The sequence below is a fragment of the Homo sapiens genome, chromosome 5 (genome assembly GCF_000001405.40).
Source record: "Homo sapiens chromosome 5, GRCh38.p14 Primary Assembly".
Taxonomy (NCBI): domain Eukaryota; kingdom Metazoa; phylum Chordata; class Mammalia; order Primates; family Hominidae; genus Homo; species Homo sapiens.
This window is the reverse complement of record NC_000005.10, coordinates 10,563,603-10,577,909: the sequence shown is the minus strand read 5'-3', so window position 1 is coordinate 10,577,909 and position 14,307 is coordinate 10,563,603. Positions and strand designations below refer to the sequence as shown.

General features: G+C 50.9%; 1 protein-coding gene across 1 annotated transcript in view, besides 14 other annotated features; it reads right to left on the bottom strand.

Moving 5' to 3' along the window:
* Positions 1-13,840, bottom strand: part of ANKRD33B (ankyrin repeat domain 33B) — a 93,747-nt gene extending 79,907 nt beyond the window's left edge. Inside the window, exon 1 of the mRNA NM_001164440.2 lies at positions 13,077-13,840. Within this exon, the coding sequence (NP_001157912.1) occupies positions 13,077-13,442 (366 nt within the window). The 5' untranslated portion in view covers positions 13,443-13,840. The remainder of the gene's footprint in view (positions 1-13,076) is intronic.
* Positions 376-475: an enhancer, noted in NCBI's record as "active region_22362". NCBI's record gives its function as "activates an Ori minimal core promoter by ATAC-STARR-seq in GM12878 lymphoblastoid cells {active_cell/tissue: GM12878}" and the evidence as "EXISTENCE:reporter gene assay evidence [ECO:0000049][PMID:35858748]".
* Positions 10,667-10,716: an enhancer, noted in NCBI's record as "active region_22361". NCBI's record gives its function as "activates an Ori minimal core promoter by ATAC-STARR-seq in GM12878 lymphoblastoid cells {active_cell/tissue: GM12878}" and the evidence as "EXISTENCE:reporter gene assay evidence [ECO:0000049][PMID:35858748]".
* Positions 10,797-10,856: an enhancer, noted in NCBI's record as "active region_22360". NCBI's record gives its function as "activates an Ori minimal core promoter by ATAC-STARR-seq in GM12878 lymphoblastoid cells {active_cell/tissue: GM12878}" and the evidence as "EXISTENCE:reporter gene assay evidence [ECO:0000049][PMID:35858748]".
* Positions 11,384-11,885: an enhancer, noted in NCBI's record as "H3K4me1 hESC enhancer chr5:10566137-10566638 (GRCh37/hg19 assembly coordinates)". NCBI's record gives its function as "activates a minimal SCP1, AML or CMV promoter by ChIP-STARR-seq in primed H9 embryonic stem cells {active_cell/tissue: H9 hESC(primed)}" and the evidence as "EXISTENCE:reporter gene assay evidence [ECO:0000049][PMID:30033119]".
* Positions 11,987-12,036: a silencer, noted in NCBI's record as "silent region_15924". NCBI's record gives its function as "represses an Ori minimal core promoter by ATAC-STARR-seq in GM12878 lymphoblastoid cells {active_cell/tissue: GM12878}" and the evidence as "EXISTENCE:reporter gene assay evidence [ECO:0000049][PMID:35858748]".
* Positions 11,987-12,882: a biological region, named in NCBI's record as "H3K27ac-H3K4me1 hESC enhancer GRCh37_chr5:10565140-10566033".
* Positions 11,989-12,882: an enhancer, noted in NCBI's record as "H3K27ac-H3K4me1 hESC enhancer chr5:10565140-10566033 (GRCh37/hg19 assembly coordinates)". NCBI's record gives its function as "activates a minimal SCP1, AML or CMV promoter by ChIP-STARR-seq in primed H9 embryonic stem cells {active_cell/tissue: H9 hESC(primed)}" and the evidence as "EXISTENCE:reporter gene assay evidence [ECO:0000049][PMID:30033119]".
* Positions 12,177-12,266: an enhancer, noted in NCBI's record as "active region_22359". NCBI's record gives its function as "activates an Ori minimal core promoter by ATAC-STARR-seq in GM12878 lymphoblastoid cells {active_cell/tissue: GM12878}" and the evidence as "EXISTENCE:reporter gene assay evidence [ECO:0000049][PMID:35858748]".
* Positions 12,287-12,336: an enhancer, noted in NCBI's record as "active region_22358". NCBI's record gives its function as "activates an Ori minimal core promoter by ATAC-STARR-seq in GM12878 lymphoblastoid cells {active_cell/tissue: GM12878}" and the evidence as "EXISTENCE:reporter gene assay evidence [ECO:0000049][PMID:35858748]".
* Positions 12,657-12,866: an enhancer, noted in NCBI's record as "active region_22357". NCBI's record gives its function as "activates an Ori minimal core promoter by ATAC-STARR-seq in GM12878 lymphoblastoid cells {active_cell/tissue: GM12878}" and the evidence as "EXISTENCE:reporter gene assay evidence [ECO:0000049][PMID:35858748]".
* Positions 12,883-13,777: an enhancer, noted in NCBI's record as "H3K27ac-H3K4me1 hESC enhancer chr5:10564245-10565139 (GRCh37/hg19 assembly coordinates)". NCBI's record gives its function as "activates a minimal SCP1, AML or CMV promoter by ChIP-STARR-seq in naive and primed H9 embryonic stem cells {active_cell/tissue: H9 hESC(naive and primed)}" and the evidence as "EXISTENCE:reporter gene assay evidence [ECO:0000049][PMID:30033119]".
* Positions 12,883-14,256: a biological region, named in NCBI's record as "H3K27ac-H3K4me1 hESC enhancer GRCh37_chr5:10564245-10565139".
* Positions 13,007-13,056: a silencer, noted in NCBI's record as "silent region_15923". NCBI's record gives its function as "represses an Ori minimal core promoter by ATAC-STARR-seq in GM12878 lymphoblastoid cells {active_cell/tissue: GM12878}" and the evidence as "EXISTENCE:reporter gene assay evidence [ECO:0000049][PMID:35858748]".
* Positions 13,397-14,256: a silencer, noted in NCBI's record as "silent region_15922". NCBI's record gives its function as "represses an Ori minimal core promoter by ATAC-STARR-seq in GM12878 lymphoblastoid cells {active_cell/tissue: GM12878}" and the evidence as "EXISTENCE:reporter gene assay evidence [ECO:0000049][PMID:35858748]".

Sequence of the window (14,307 nt, the reverse complement as noted above, 5' to 3'; positions counted from 1 at the left end):
GCATGGAGGTCAGCAGGGAGATGATTAAAGGACCCCACGGTGCAGCAAGCTGGGTTCAAGGTCTCCAGTGAGGTCAACTGAACCTGGCTCTACTGTACATGGAATTCATTTCCTAGAAACCTGCCCGTTATCTAACACCAGAGACAAAAGCTGAATTCCCAGTGCCAGCAAAACTGACTGCGGAGCTATGTCACTGCTGCTATTTTTAGGAGATGACTATTGTCTCTCGAGTTTTAAAATACAAAAGCTGCAAGGTCTAGAAGGAAGCGATACAGACTGACCCTCCCGCTACACATGGAAAGGGTCATGCCCTTTGGATGGCTGCCTTGACATGTTAAAGGGAAGCAGATGTGGGGAGAACCCAGGAATCCACCACAGCTGCCTGTGCATAGCCCGACACCGGACAGAATCAGTCCCTGCAAGACCCAGGATGGGCCCCGACTCCAGGGGTCTTTGCAGTAACTGGTGCTGAAGAAAAGAGAAAGGCGGCCGGGCGCGGTGGCTCACGCCTGTAATCTACGGGAGGCTGAGGCTGGTGGATCACTTGAGGTCAGGAGTTCGAGACATGCCTGACCAACATGGTGAAACCCTGTCTCTACTGAAAATACCAAAATTAGCCAGGCATGGTGGTGGGTGCCTGTAATCCCAGCTACTTGGGAGGCTGAGGCAGGAGAACTGCTTGAGCCCGGGAGGCAAAGGTTGCAGTGAGCTGAGATTGTGCCATTGCACTCCAGACTGGGCAACAAGAGTGAAACTCCATCTCAAAGAAGAAAAGAAAAGGGGAAGGGGAAGGGGAAGGGAAAGGGGAAGGGGAAGGGAAAGGGAAAGGGGAAAGGGAAGGGAAAAGAAAGAGGAAAGGCTTGTGACCATCCCCGGCACCAGCTTCCTCCCCCTTCTTGAAAAACTCTCCTTATGCCGCTTCCGATTCTCCTCCCACCCACAACAGGCTTCTGTTCCATTTCCTGGGCCAGCGTTTCAGGCTCCACCCTCGCGTCATCCGAGGTGCCCACAGGATGCACCAGAAGCCCCAGCACCCTCCTCTGCTCTCTTCTGGGCTTCTCCCCATGGCACTGGCTGCCACTTTTAACAGTTACAAAAGAGGCCTCACCATGTGGATGTGCTATTTTCTTAACTACTCTTCTTTTGGTTAAACATTCAATTTGCTTCCACTTTTCCCCTTGGCTAAAATGGAACTAGCAGTACTGGAAAACCATCTGGAGATTCATTCGCCCATAGAAACAACAGCTCTGTTTACTGAGTGTCTATTACAGCACAAGCACATTCTCTGTAACTTACTCGTTAGTTCTGCCTAGAACCTCTAGGAGGTGTTATTATCTTCATAGTAAGCCTCCCAGTTTCTAGATGGGTATCTAAAGGAAACTAAAGATCAAAAGATCATGGGACTTGTCCAGGATCATGCAACCAACAAACTGGATTTCTACTCTAAGAAAAGTTCTAGAACTCCTGAAACTTAAATGTATGTGCAAATCATCTCAGGACCTTGAAATGCAGATTCTCAGGGGCCTGAGATCCTGCATTTGGTAGAAGCTCCCAGGCGATGCCAACGCTGCTGGCCCATGAACCACAGTGAAGGCAGCCAGGTTCTGTTGCCCAATATTTCCAGTGAGTCCTCTTCCCACCTATTAATAACTAGGTCTGACCCTGCTTTCATGTCCAAAATTCAATCGATTCATGGAAACAAGGCTACAGGAAAAAGGTCATGCGTGCAGCTTTTCACGCTCATTCAACTTTTTATTTTGAAATAGTTACAGCCCCACAAGAACTTGTACCCTTCACCTGTCCTCCCCAAAGGTAGCATCTTCCACAATTACTGTACAATAACAATGCCACGAACTTGACATTGCTGGAATCCATGCAGCTTATTCAGATTGCACCTGTATGCACACAATCGTGTGTGTGTGTGTGTGTGTATACGTCCATCTATACAATTTTAACCCCCACGTAGCTTCCTGTAACCACCACCATCAAGGCACAAAAAGGTTCCAGCACTGAAAGGCCCCCTCCAGCTACCCCTTTATGGTAACACTTCTCCCCTCCCCACGCTCGGCCCCAGCAGCCTCTGATCAGTTCTCCATCTCCACAACGGCATTATTTCAAGACTGTGACGTCAATGGAAGCATACAGCATATAACCTTCTGAGACCAACTCTTTTCACTCCCTGTAATTCCCTGGCCTTCCTTTATTTTTAAATCAGCAAGGGTAAGTCGGTGTCCCTGTGAAGGGAAGCAGAGTGGCCTAGAAGTGCTTGAATGTGCAGCAGAAGGTCTCTGGAGATGGTGTTAGCCATGCTCTGGGAACCTACAGAAAGCTCTCCAACTTAAATAGGGGACTCTGCCCGTCATATTTACCCTTAGCTCTAGCTCTAAAGGACAGAAAACTGGTTCCGTTTGCCAGGCCCTGTTTACTTATTCATAAAGGTAAGGCCCAACAATGGCATAGAATTAAGACTCTTTTTTTTTTTTTTTTGAGACAGTCTCGCTCTGTTGCCAGGCTCGAGTGGAGTGGTGCGATCTCGGCTCACTGCAACCTCCGCCTCCCTGGTTCAAGCAATTCTGCCCCTGCCTCAGCCTCCCGAGTAGCTGGGATTCCAAGCGTGCACCACCACGCCCAGCTAATTTTTGTATTTTCAGTAGAGATGGGGTTTCACCATGTTGGCCAGGACGGTCTTGATCTTTTGACCTCATGATCCGCCCACCTCGGCCTCCCAAAGTGCTGGCATTACAGGTGTGAGCCACCGCGCCCAGCCTGCCAGCAAGACTCTTAAGTGAGAATTGTTTGTTTGTTTGTTTGTTTGTTTCTTGGAAACAGGGTTTCATTGTGTCATCCAGGCTGAGTGCAGTGGCACCATCCTAGCTCATCCTGCAGCCTTGAATTCCTGGGCTCAAGTGATCCTCCCACCTCAGCCTTCCCAGTAGCTAAGACAACAGGCATGTGCCACCACACCCGACTAAGTTTTAATTTTTTTTTTTTTTGTAGAGACAAAGTCTTGCTATGTTGCCCACGCTGGTCTTGAGCACCTGGCCTTAAGCAGCTCTCCCGCTTCAGCCTCCCAAAGTGCTGGGATTACAGGTGTGAGCCACTGCAGCTGGCCAGTTTTAAAGTTTAATAGGATGACATTCTTACAGGATCTCTTTTTAATCTTTGTTTTAACTGTGCTATAACCTGTTATCCTGTATTTTCAAATGTGTGCTATTTCTCTTTTTGATGACAGCTACTGTCAAAAATATCTATTTTATTATTACTTTCAGAGAATCAGCTTTTGTCCTGGATCTATAATCTTCATGATTTCATCAATTTCTGCTTTTCATTTGATTATTTCTTTCCTTTAGTTTTATGCTACCTGTAATTTTCCTTCAAGATACCACTTTTGCTTTTCCCCACAAATTTTGATATGTAATATTTTTATTACTTTTCAGCTCAATTTACATTATGGTTTCCCATTTTATCTAGGAGTTATTTAGAATTGTGTTAGATCTAGAAAAAAAAAATTAACCAAATTCAGAGAACATGGTGTTTATGACACCATTTTTTTGAATTTTCTTGAGCTTGGCTTTACAGCCTACTGGGCTAATAATTCTAAATCATAACCATGTGAAATTTTTCTCCAAATTAAGTCAAGATAATTCCATATGTAAAAGAATACATAAATCCTTTTAATTGAAAGAAATATGTAGAAAAGTTACTAAAATATGTGAACAAAGAAAATAGAAAATATGTTTCATTCACAAAAGGTGGATATCTTCTACACAGCCGGTGGAATGATATGTGTGTATGTGTGTGTGTACACGCCTGCTCACGCATGTTTGTGCGTGTGTAAAAGAGCCCGGGGCAAGGAAGGGGTTGATGGCAGCCACACAGACGTGAAGAGCATGACTGAGAGGAGGCCCCTTTTATTTGTGATGGGGAGTGGAGGGGTATGATGGTGTTACCTGTTTGTAGATCTGATGATGTCAGAGTTTAAGATAAAGTAGGGTGTCAGGAGTCCTTGATGTCATTAAGTATGTGATATGGTTTCCCTGTGTCCCCACACAAATCGCATCTCAAATTGTAATTCCCACATGTCAGAGGAGGGGCCTGGTGGGAGGTGACTGGATCATGGGGGCAGATTCCCCCTTGCTGTTCTCATGATAGTGAGTTCTCACAAGATCTGATGGTTTTAATGTGGCACTTCCCCCCTCACTCTCACTCTCTCATGCCGCCATGTAGTAAGACATGCCTTGCTTCCCCTTTGCCTTTTGCCATGATTGTAAGTTTCCTGGGGCCTCCCCAGCCATGTGGAACTGTGAGTCAATTAAACCTCTTTTCTTATAAATTACCCAGTCCCAGGCAGTTCTTTATTTCTTTACAGCAGTATGAAAACAGACTAATACAGTATGTATGTCCATAAAAGAATTGGAAGAGGTTTTTTTTTTTTTTTTTTTGAGACGGAGTCTCGCTCTGTTGCCCAGGCTGGAGTGCAGTGGCGTGATCTCAGCTCACTGCAACCCCCGCCTCCGAGGTTTAAGTGATTCTCCTGCCTCAGCTTCCCGAGTAGTTGGGACTACAGGTGTGTGCCACTACACCGAGCTAATTTTTTGTATTTTTAGTAAAGACGGGGTTTCACCGTGTTAGCCAGGATGGTCTCCATTTCCTGACCTCGTTATCTGCCCACCTCGGCCTCCCAAAGTGCTGGGATTACAGGTGTGAGCCACCGCGCCCAGCTGGAAGAGATTATTTTTAAATGATGTCCCTGAATTTAAAGGACAGTTGAAGGTGGATTTTACTTATTTCTACTAAGTCAGAGATACAGAAATTGAGGTAGAAGTGAAATCCCATGTCACAGCTGGCTCAGTGGCAACTGATTGGATTGGAGTGGTGGGATTTGAGAGCAATTTCAAAGAAACAGAGAAATAACGACGTATGCTTCCAGAGGCATATTTATGTCAGGTCTGATGAAACTCAGATCAGAAGTAGGCATCTGATCAGATGGGAATGAAGAATGAAGCATTTCTCTCTGGCCTCTGTTTCTGGGATGCTTACCTGGCCCTTGAATTAGGACCCACACTTCTGGCAAGGGACATTCCAGCTGGGAGAGGCATGGACAGGGAGGCCCAGGAAGAAGCAGGTGTAACCACGTCAGCCTGTGCTCAGCAGAGGTGCCCAGTGAAGGGTGTTAAGTGCATTCATAGTGGCACACTTTTTCTGAGACAAGGAAAGACAGAAGTCACATTCCAGTGTCCACTTGGGGAACAGGCCCAGACGGGGCTGCCTGACACTAACGCTGCGGCATGGGCAGTAGGTGAAGCCATGTGTTGTGGGGATGGTAAGTTTCAGACTCAGACCACACCGGAACTGCCTCCTGGCTCCACCACGGGAGCACCTATGGCACCTCCCTGAACCTGTAACTTCATCCATTCATCACAGACACCCACATCCACATCACAGGGCTCCGAGGGTAGAATGAGATGCTCTGTGCTAAGGCTTCTCAAAGGCTCCATTGCCTCCAAAGCCCCTGGCAGGTTTTGTTGAAAAGTAGGCCCTGACTCAGCAGGTCTTGGTGGGGAGGGCTGGGATTCTGCACTCCTAACAAGTTCCCCAGCAGGGAACCCCCTGCTCCAGGTCTCAGGACCCCACTTTGAGTTCAAGAGTCTGCACCAGTGATTGTCAGTGTTGGCTGCACATTGAAATGACTCTGGGAGTTTTAGAAAATACTGATGCCCTGGCCGGGTGTGGTGGCTCACGCCTGTAATCCCAACACTTTGGGAGGCCGAGGTGGGCAGATCACCTGAGGTCAGGAGTTCGAGACCAGCCTGGCCAACATGGTAAAACCCCATCTCTACTAAAAATACAAAAATTAGCCAGACATGGTGGCGGGTGCCTGTAATCCCGGCTACTTGGGAGGCTGAAGCAGGAGAATTGCTTGAACCTGGGAGGCAGAGGTTGCAGTGAGCCGAGATTGCGCCACTGCACTCCGGCCTGGGCAATAAGAGCAAAACTCCGTCTCAAAAAAAAAAAAAGAAAAAAGAAAATACGGATGCCTTATCTTACCCTCAGATTCTCACTTAATTCTGAGATGTGGCCTGGGCACTTGGACTTTTATAGACCTTTCCAGATGATTCTAATGTACAGTCCAAGCTGGGAACCACCATCTCTGGGAGACTACCTGGTGCAAACACCTCAGAAATCTGGACTCACATTTTTTTCAACTTTGTCATTGTTGTTTAAATTTATCCAAATTTTGTTTTTTAAATTTATTTCAGAAAACTATTAACCCCTTGAGGTGATGGATATTTCCTCAATCTAAAAAAATCAGAGCTGGAGATCAGGACTAGGAAATGAAAAGCACACTCTGGGTTCCAGGCACAAGCCCCAGTGTGGACACCTGTTGGCTCAAATAAATACTCAAGAGGCCAGGGGCGGTGGCACAGGCCTGTAATCCCAGCGCTTTGGGAGGCTGAGGTGGGTGAATCACCTGAGGTCAGGAGTTTGAGACCAGCCTGGCCAACATGGCGAAACTCCATCTCTACTCAAAATTCAAAATTTAGCTGGGCATCGTGACGCATGCCTGTAGTCCCAGCTACTCAGGAGGCTGAGGCAGGACAATCGCTTGAACCCGGGAGGTGGAGGTTGCAGTGGGCCGAGATCGCACCACTGCACTCCAGCCTGGGCAACAGAGCGAGATCCATCTCAAAAAAATAAATAAATAAACAAATAAGATTTTAAAATAAGTACTCAAGAAACCCAAACGCAGCAGAGCCCTCTCTCCATTTCACACTGTAGATCAGGGGCAAAGTCACAGACTATGGGGGAAATTAGCACTGTAAGTACAGGCTTGAAGTAGATTATTCTACCTGTTGTTTGTTTTCAGGTTGGCAGCTGACCAATAATAATAATAATTACAATGTTATAAACACAAACACACTTATACCAAGGAATTTTTTTAAAAACTAAATGCCTGTTTTCTCTTCTTTAATGAGTCCTAATTGACAAAAAAAAAAAAAAAAAAGGTTATTTGAGTCATGTTGTTAAAGAATCTGAAAAGAATAAAGGAGGCCAGGCATGGTAGCTCATGCCTATAATCCCAGCACCTTGGGAGGCTGAGGCAGGAGGACTGCTTGATGCCAGGAGTTTGAGACCAGCCTGGGCAACATAGCAAGATCCTGTCTCTACAAAAAATAAATAAAAATTAGCCTGGCGTGGAGGTGTGCACCTATAGTCCCAGCTACTCAGAAGGCTGAGGTGGGAGGTTCATTTGTGCCCAGGAGGTCAAGGCTCAGTGAGCTAGGATTATGCCACTGTACTCCAGCCTGGGCAACAGAGTGAGACTCTATCTCAAAATAATATAAAATAAAATAAAGAAGCAATACGTGACAAAGCAGCCAGAAGTGATGCTTCAGCCAAGCTGAAGCATCATGAGGCCATATTTGCTCAGCCTGCTCTCCTGGAACCCTGCCCCTGCCATGGAAAACAGGCCGAGACAGCCTGCTGAAGGATGAGAGACCAAATGGAGCAGCGATGAGTCCTCCCAGTTAAGACTGTTTTGGTCTTGCCATTCGCAGCTGACCACCAGCTGAATGAAGACGAATGAGCAAATCCAGCCTACATCAGCTGAGATAGGCCACCCCCAACAAAACATTTACAGTTGTAAACACCTGTAAGGTTTTGTAGCTATTTGGTAGGCAGCATGATTGTGGCCACAGATGACTGACATTCTTATATCAAAAACACATGGGGGCTGGGTGCAGTGGCTCATGCCTGTAATCCCAGCACTTTGGGAGGCCGAGGTGGGTGGATCACTTGAGCTCAGGAGTTCGAGACCAGCCTGGCCAACATGGCGCAACCCCGTCTCTACTAAAAACATAAAAATTAGTCGGGCATGGTGGCACATGCCTGTAATCCCAGCTACTCAGGAGGCTGAGTCGGGAGAATCGCTTGAACCTGGGAGACGGAGGTTGCAGTGAGCTGATATCACACCACTGCACTCTAGACTGGGTGACAGAGCGAGACTCCATCTCTAAACAAAAAAACAAAAACAAACAAACAAAAAACACATGGGCCTCTCTACTGCTGCTAGACTCAGAATGCTCCCCACCACGGTCAGCAGAAGAGGAAGAGGCAGACATCTGCCAGCCCACCCATCGCCAAGCCCATTTCAGCTGAGACCTCCTCTGACTCCAGCCCCTCGGACTCCCGGTCTAGGATTCTGCTCAATTTGCCCTCCTCACCCGCTTTCTCACAGTTCAGAATTTGGAGATGCAACTAAAACACTAGCATACATGCCTCTATTTATTTATTTATTTATTTATTTATTTTCAAACACGGGTCTTGTTCTGTCGCCCAGCCTGGGGCGCAGTGGTGCAATCTCAACTCACTGCAACCTCCACCTCCTGGGCTCAAGCGAGTCTCCTGCCTCAGCCTCCCCAGTAGCTGGGACTACAGGCGTCCACCACCATGCCTGCCTAATTTTGGTATTTTTTTAGAGATGGGCTTTCACCATGTTGCCCAGGCTGTTCTCAAACTCCTAGGCTCAAGTGATCTGCCTGCCTCGGCCTCCCAAAGTGCTGGGATTACAGGAAGGAGCCACCACGCCCAGCCTAACATACATTCCTAAAAAGCAAAGCTTGTGCTTGCAGGCCCTCCGCAAGCATACAGAGGCCTGAGGCCAGAATTCACTTTCTATGGTAACTAACAAGAACCAGAGAAGTCACTTTCTATGCTAGTCAGCCCGTTGCTGTGCACACGCAGGCCATGAGCACCGAGGCCTGGTAAAGACGGAGGGCTGTTGCAATAACTGGATTCTCATTTTTGGGGAAAAGTGATTCTGGAGCTTATAAATCTTTCGGAAGTATTAAAAAAATAAATAAATAAAAACTTTCTCACATACATTTCAAGATAAAGCCCTGATCATCGCTATAAATCTATGAAAATTAAGTTTTAATTTTAAGCACCTCAAGAGTAAAGGGAAACACCCACACTGGGTGTGATGTGGGCTTTGCTGACCTAACAAAACAAACCAATGGAGGGGCCTTTGGAAAACGTAACCAAGAGACCCTGGAAATTTAAACACGCAGAAGCAGGGCAGGCGCGGTGCCTCACACCGGTAATCCCAGAACTTTCAGAGGCCAAGCAAGAGGATCACTTGAGGTCAGGAGTTCAACACCAGCCTGGCCATCATGATGAAACCCTGTCTCTACTAAAAATACAAAAATTAGCCGGGCGTGGTGGCGCACGCCTGTAATCCCAGGTATGTGGGAAGCTGAGGCAGGAGATTCACTTGAACCCCGGAGGCGGAGGTTGCAGTGAGCAGAGATTGCGCCACTGCACTCCAGCCTGAGTGACAGAGCAAGACTCAGTCTCAAAAACAAACACGAACACGCAGAAGCAGAATCCCATCAGGACAGGAGTGCAGTATTTTAAATTGAGCATGTATTTGGGCCTAATTAAGTCCAAGAGCTGTCTGACATTTAAACTGCCCTTCTGCAACAATTAAAACAACACACTTTGTGTGTTTTCACTGTCATCTCAAGAGCCGCCAAGGCCATAAAGGTGAACTTCAGGTGATAGTAAGTGGAAGAGAAGAATTAAGAAAAAGAATTATGGCAGCTTGCACTGCCTCAAGTCAGAAGGAACAAAACAACCATAAATCCAGAAGACATTGGAAGCAAGCTTTGAATGTTATTGGGCAATTATCTGACAAATATTTACATGTTGCATATTAAATCATGCAATGCTTTTAGAGCAATAAATATTTTAGAAGGAAAATGGTGTGCTGAGCCACATCCAACATTCTACCAATCTCAGGAGGCAGGAGAGAATGCATTTTCTTAAACAAAACACATCTGACCCTTAGTTACCCAGACCAAATGGAATGCCTGTCAGCTCAGGCAAAGCTCCCTTCTTAAATGCCCAGAGATGAAGAGCTCAACAAGCATGTCCCAGAAAAGTTTAGACGCCTTTAGAGATCATTTCCTCCTAGAAAGCCGGCTGTGGGCTGTATCTGTGAGCTGTCATTCTGTCATTAATGCAATTACCCCTCCACTGCACCAAAGCTGTCCGGGCCTTCTTTAAGGTTTTCACTGCCACTAATCATGATAAGCTTGGAGACCAGGCTCCAACGAGGTTCCCACCTCAGTCTTTGCACACACTGTTCCCTCCGTCTAACTCCTCTTTCCCCTAGATGCCGTCTCTGCTCAAACGTCACCTGCTCTCTAAATGACCATCCTATTTATAATTTCAGCCCTAAATGTGTGAATGCCTACATTACCCTTGCTCAGCTCCAGGTTCTGTAGGCTTGGACAAGAGGAGACAGAAAAGCCTCCCAGGGAAGGTGCCCTTAAACCAGGAGCCTGCAGACAGAGAGGGAGTGACCCACACTGCCGTCGGGGAGACCGGACACCGTCATGTGAAAAGCAGTCCGTCTCCCAGTTTCCTAGGTCTCAGCTAGCCGCTCTTCCTCTGCAAGTTCTTCTCCTCACTAAAAGGCTAGGACTCTTCAAAGGCAGGGACTGCCAGATTCAGTTTTGAGTCTGCTAAAGTACCTAGCGGGAGCACAGTAGGTCTGCGGTAAACACTTTGGCAATGACTCACTCCATTTACCACAGAGCAGGGCATCAGGGCTTTGCCACACTTGATTCTTTCAGCTGTTTTTCAGGAAGATAGAGGCTGTTTGATCAACAGCCTTGAGAAGCTAATGAAAAGAATGGAGGCTCCTGCCTCGCTCCCCCCACTGGCCTCACAAAGCACAGAACACAAGCCCTGCTCCGTCTGATCCAAAGATGAAAGAGTCCAAGGGTCTCTAAGTTAGCAGGCTATGTCCGGGCCTACATCATTATTTTACGTGACACAGAGAAACAAAGTCTTCACTTCTGCTGTAATCAAAGGGGAAGAAAAGCAGCGAGAGAAAAAGCCTTGCCTGGCAGAAGACAAAAAACAAAACAAAACAAAATAAAACTGGAAGGTGCTCTCTTCCAAGCCAAGAGAAGGCAGACGAATGAGAAACACGATGGTAAACACAAGCCTGGGGCCAGGCCTTCCCAGAGCCTTGTGGGCACTAAGCCATTTTATGCTCACATCCTAAGAGGAGAGGCTGCCCTTATCCCTATTTTACAGACGAGGAAACTGAGGCAGAGAGCTGCTGGGAGGCTGGAGCTAGCCTCCCATACCACGGCCCTCCCCTGCCTCTCTGCTGTGTGGCCTGGAGACTCAGTCTGTTAGGCTCGAGCCCCTGGGGATGGTTTACGTTGCTGTCAGTTTTCTTCAATGCAGCTGTTTTCAAACATTTATGTTTTGCCCCTAAAGGAAACATTATATAAAGCTGAGCCCAGTGGTGCCCTAGAGTGGGGACTGGGCGAGCCAGGCCCCTCCTGTGCCCATTCCAGCCCACTGGAGACCACCAGGCTGCCCAGGACAGGGGGAGAGGCCCACCCCACCTGTTCCTTTATGAGCTTGGTGAGGCTTCCTTTAAAGCGGGCCCCCATACTGGCTTCCAGAAAGCAAGGTTTCTGATTACACACATCTGGGCCTGAAAACTCAGTTAAACCAAATGTAGAACTTGAGAAACAGGCCCTAGGACTTCGGGTGGAGCTCCAAGCCCTAATCACATGCCAGCCAGGGCATCTGTCGCCAGGGCTGGGGGAGGAGGCATTGCAAGAGGAATGGCAGCAGGAACTACAGGGCTCCAGGTGATGCTACCTACGGGGACGCCACCTCAGGTCTCACTGCCTAACATATGACAAGCACAGACCCTTCCTCCAAGTTCAAATGTTGTGTGATATGGTTTGGCTGTGTCCCCACCCAAATCTCATCTTGAATTCCCACGTGTTGTGGGAGGGACACGGTGGGAGGTAATTGAATCACGGGGGCAATGTAGTACAAGGGGAGAGTGACATTGGAGGGCTTCCCATCCACCTAAGCCCAGCCCAAACCACAGTCAGGGCAAACCACTTGCCCCACCCACTGCAGGATAAACCAAAGGCACAAGGTCACCCGGGTCCCCAAGTCAAAGCACATGTTTTCTGTCAGCTGCAGGCTCCTGAGCAAAAAGCATGTGCATTTGTGCTAGGCTGCATCTGCAGATACCACGGTCCTTGGACAATACAAAAATCAGGTGAGAACGCTGCCATTTGCCCACTGAGCACAGACTACGGGGAACTTGGCCACCGTGGTCACTCTGCAGTTTTCCCTTGAAGTGCTTTGCTTGGTGGAAGGTGTTCCACCAGCCAGTCCTTCTCAGGTCTTCTTAAGCCAACTTTTTTTCTTTTCCTTTCTTTTCTTTTCTTTTCTAAACATCTCGTTTTCTCTGAATCTGGTCATAACGAAAGGATAGCCTGTGCCTGCCTCCACGCCTCCTGCCCTACCCGGGTGGATGCCCGCGGCTCTGGGGCTCTCCCTATGCCCTGACTCTGGGGAGCCCCGGCTGGCATTGGCTCGCGAAGGTGACCTGCGGACAGACCAGTCAGAGATCACGTTGGCTGGTCGCGGCGCGGGCCACAAAGCTCAGCGGAGGTGGGGTAGGGGACCAAGCTGTCCCGGCGAGGGAAGAAACTGTTGCTTCCAAATCATTGCGGCTGGAGGAGCCGATCTGCGCCCCAGCGTGTTAGGACAAGGGCGGCGCGAGGGGCCCAGGGGCCAAATGGGGCGCTGGGCAGGAGGGGCTGTCTCCTGCAGGGGAGGAGGAATGGTCCCCTGCCAGGGACCTGGGGAAAGGTAATAGTCAGGAGGGGACCGGGCCGCAAGAAGCCCATCCTGGATTGCAGCACGGGCAGCCAGCGCGAATTCAGTCAGGAGGTCCACGGGGACCGGTAAACGAGAAGGGGATGCGGTGAGGACGCCGGACTGGCGTTTCTGCCGCGCTGACACCTCGACTGCTCCCTCCCCGCACCGCGTCCCCCAGCCTGAGACGGGGAAGCCACCCAGGGCACCGCGCTCCCAAACAGCGGGGAAAAGGCGCTCTGGGCGGCGGCTGAGTGACCGAGGGACCGGTCCGGAGCCAGGAGCTGGGAGGCGCGGGGATGTGGTGGGGAGGAGGGGAGTGGGGGCAGTGAGGGGGCTCAAATCCTGCGGGGACGCCCGCTTACCCTGCCGTTGCGGTCAGTCTCCTGCGCCTCCTCGACGCTCACCCCGCGCCGCACCAGCGTCCGCAGCAGCCCCACGTTGTTGGCGCAGGCGGCGCGCAGGAGGGTCGCCGTCTCCGGGACGCTTTCCGGGACGCCCTCCGGGACGCTCTCCGCGCTCTCGACGCCGTGCTCCTCCTCGTCCTCGAAAGGGTAGAAAGAGTCGTCCGAGGCGATGCTGCGGGTGTCTGGCAGACTCGAGAAGTCCTCAAACTCTTCGTAGTCAGCGGGGTCCTCCTCGACCTGCGCGCCCCGGGGTGGGGACGGCGGTGGTGGGGTCATGCAGCGCGCCCCGCCGCCCTCCGGCCCGGTCCCGGCCAGCAGCACCATGCCGGCGGCCGGGGCGCGGGCCGGGGGCCGGGGCGCGGGCAGGAAGAGCGGGACGCGGGGCGCGCGCCGAGGTCCCCGCTTCTCGCTTCTGCGTCCCCAGAGAAGCCGTGGCCCGCGCGCTCCAGCTCGGCGGAAACCGGCACCAGGCGGCTGCGCTCAAAGAAAAAAGTCTCCGGAGGCTGAGCGAGCCCCTGGGGTGGGCGGGACCGCGGGGGCTTTCCGAGGCGGGGCGGGGCGGGGCGCGGGGACACGCCTTCCCCCGGGGCCTTCCCCTCGCGCCCCTTCCTGGCCAGAGTTCAGAGCCAGGCAGGCGCTCTCTCGAGCGCGGGGACTGGGCACCTGGCAGCGTTGCCCCAGAGCTGGGGACAGCTGGCGCGGGAGAAGCAGAAGCAATCACTAAAGAAGCCGAACCCGAGTCGCGGGCGGCAAGCGGCCCCGCCCCTCCCTCCGCCGGCCCGCGGGATGGGGGCGGAGGTGGCGGCGGGGGGACGCCGGGGCGGAGCCGGCCTCCAGCTTCGGGAACCTCGGACCCCTGGAGCCGGCCTCCGCCGAGGGCGTCGGGCCCCCGGACCTGGGTGGGGCCGGTTTCTCCCGCCGCTTCAGAGGAGCAGAGCGGGTTTTCTCCCTTCGGGGGATCCCGGGCTTCGGGGCTGACTCCACCCGGCCGCGGCCGCTTGGAGGCCGGGGAATCCCCGGGGCGCTTGGCGGGCAGAGGAGCCGGGCGCGGGAGCGGAGCCGTCCACCTGGGACCTGTGCCCGGGGAGCGCTGCGGGCCGGGCCACTCTGAACTGGGGGCGGTCGGCTGCTGTGGGGGAGTCCCAGCCCGGAAGGGAGGACAATCCTCAGAGTCCCCCGTCTCGCGGAA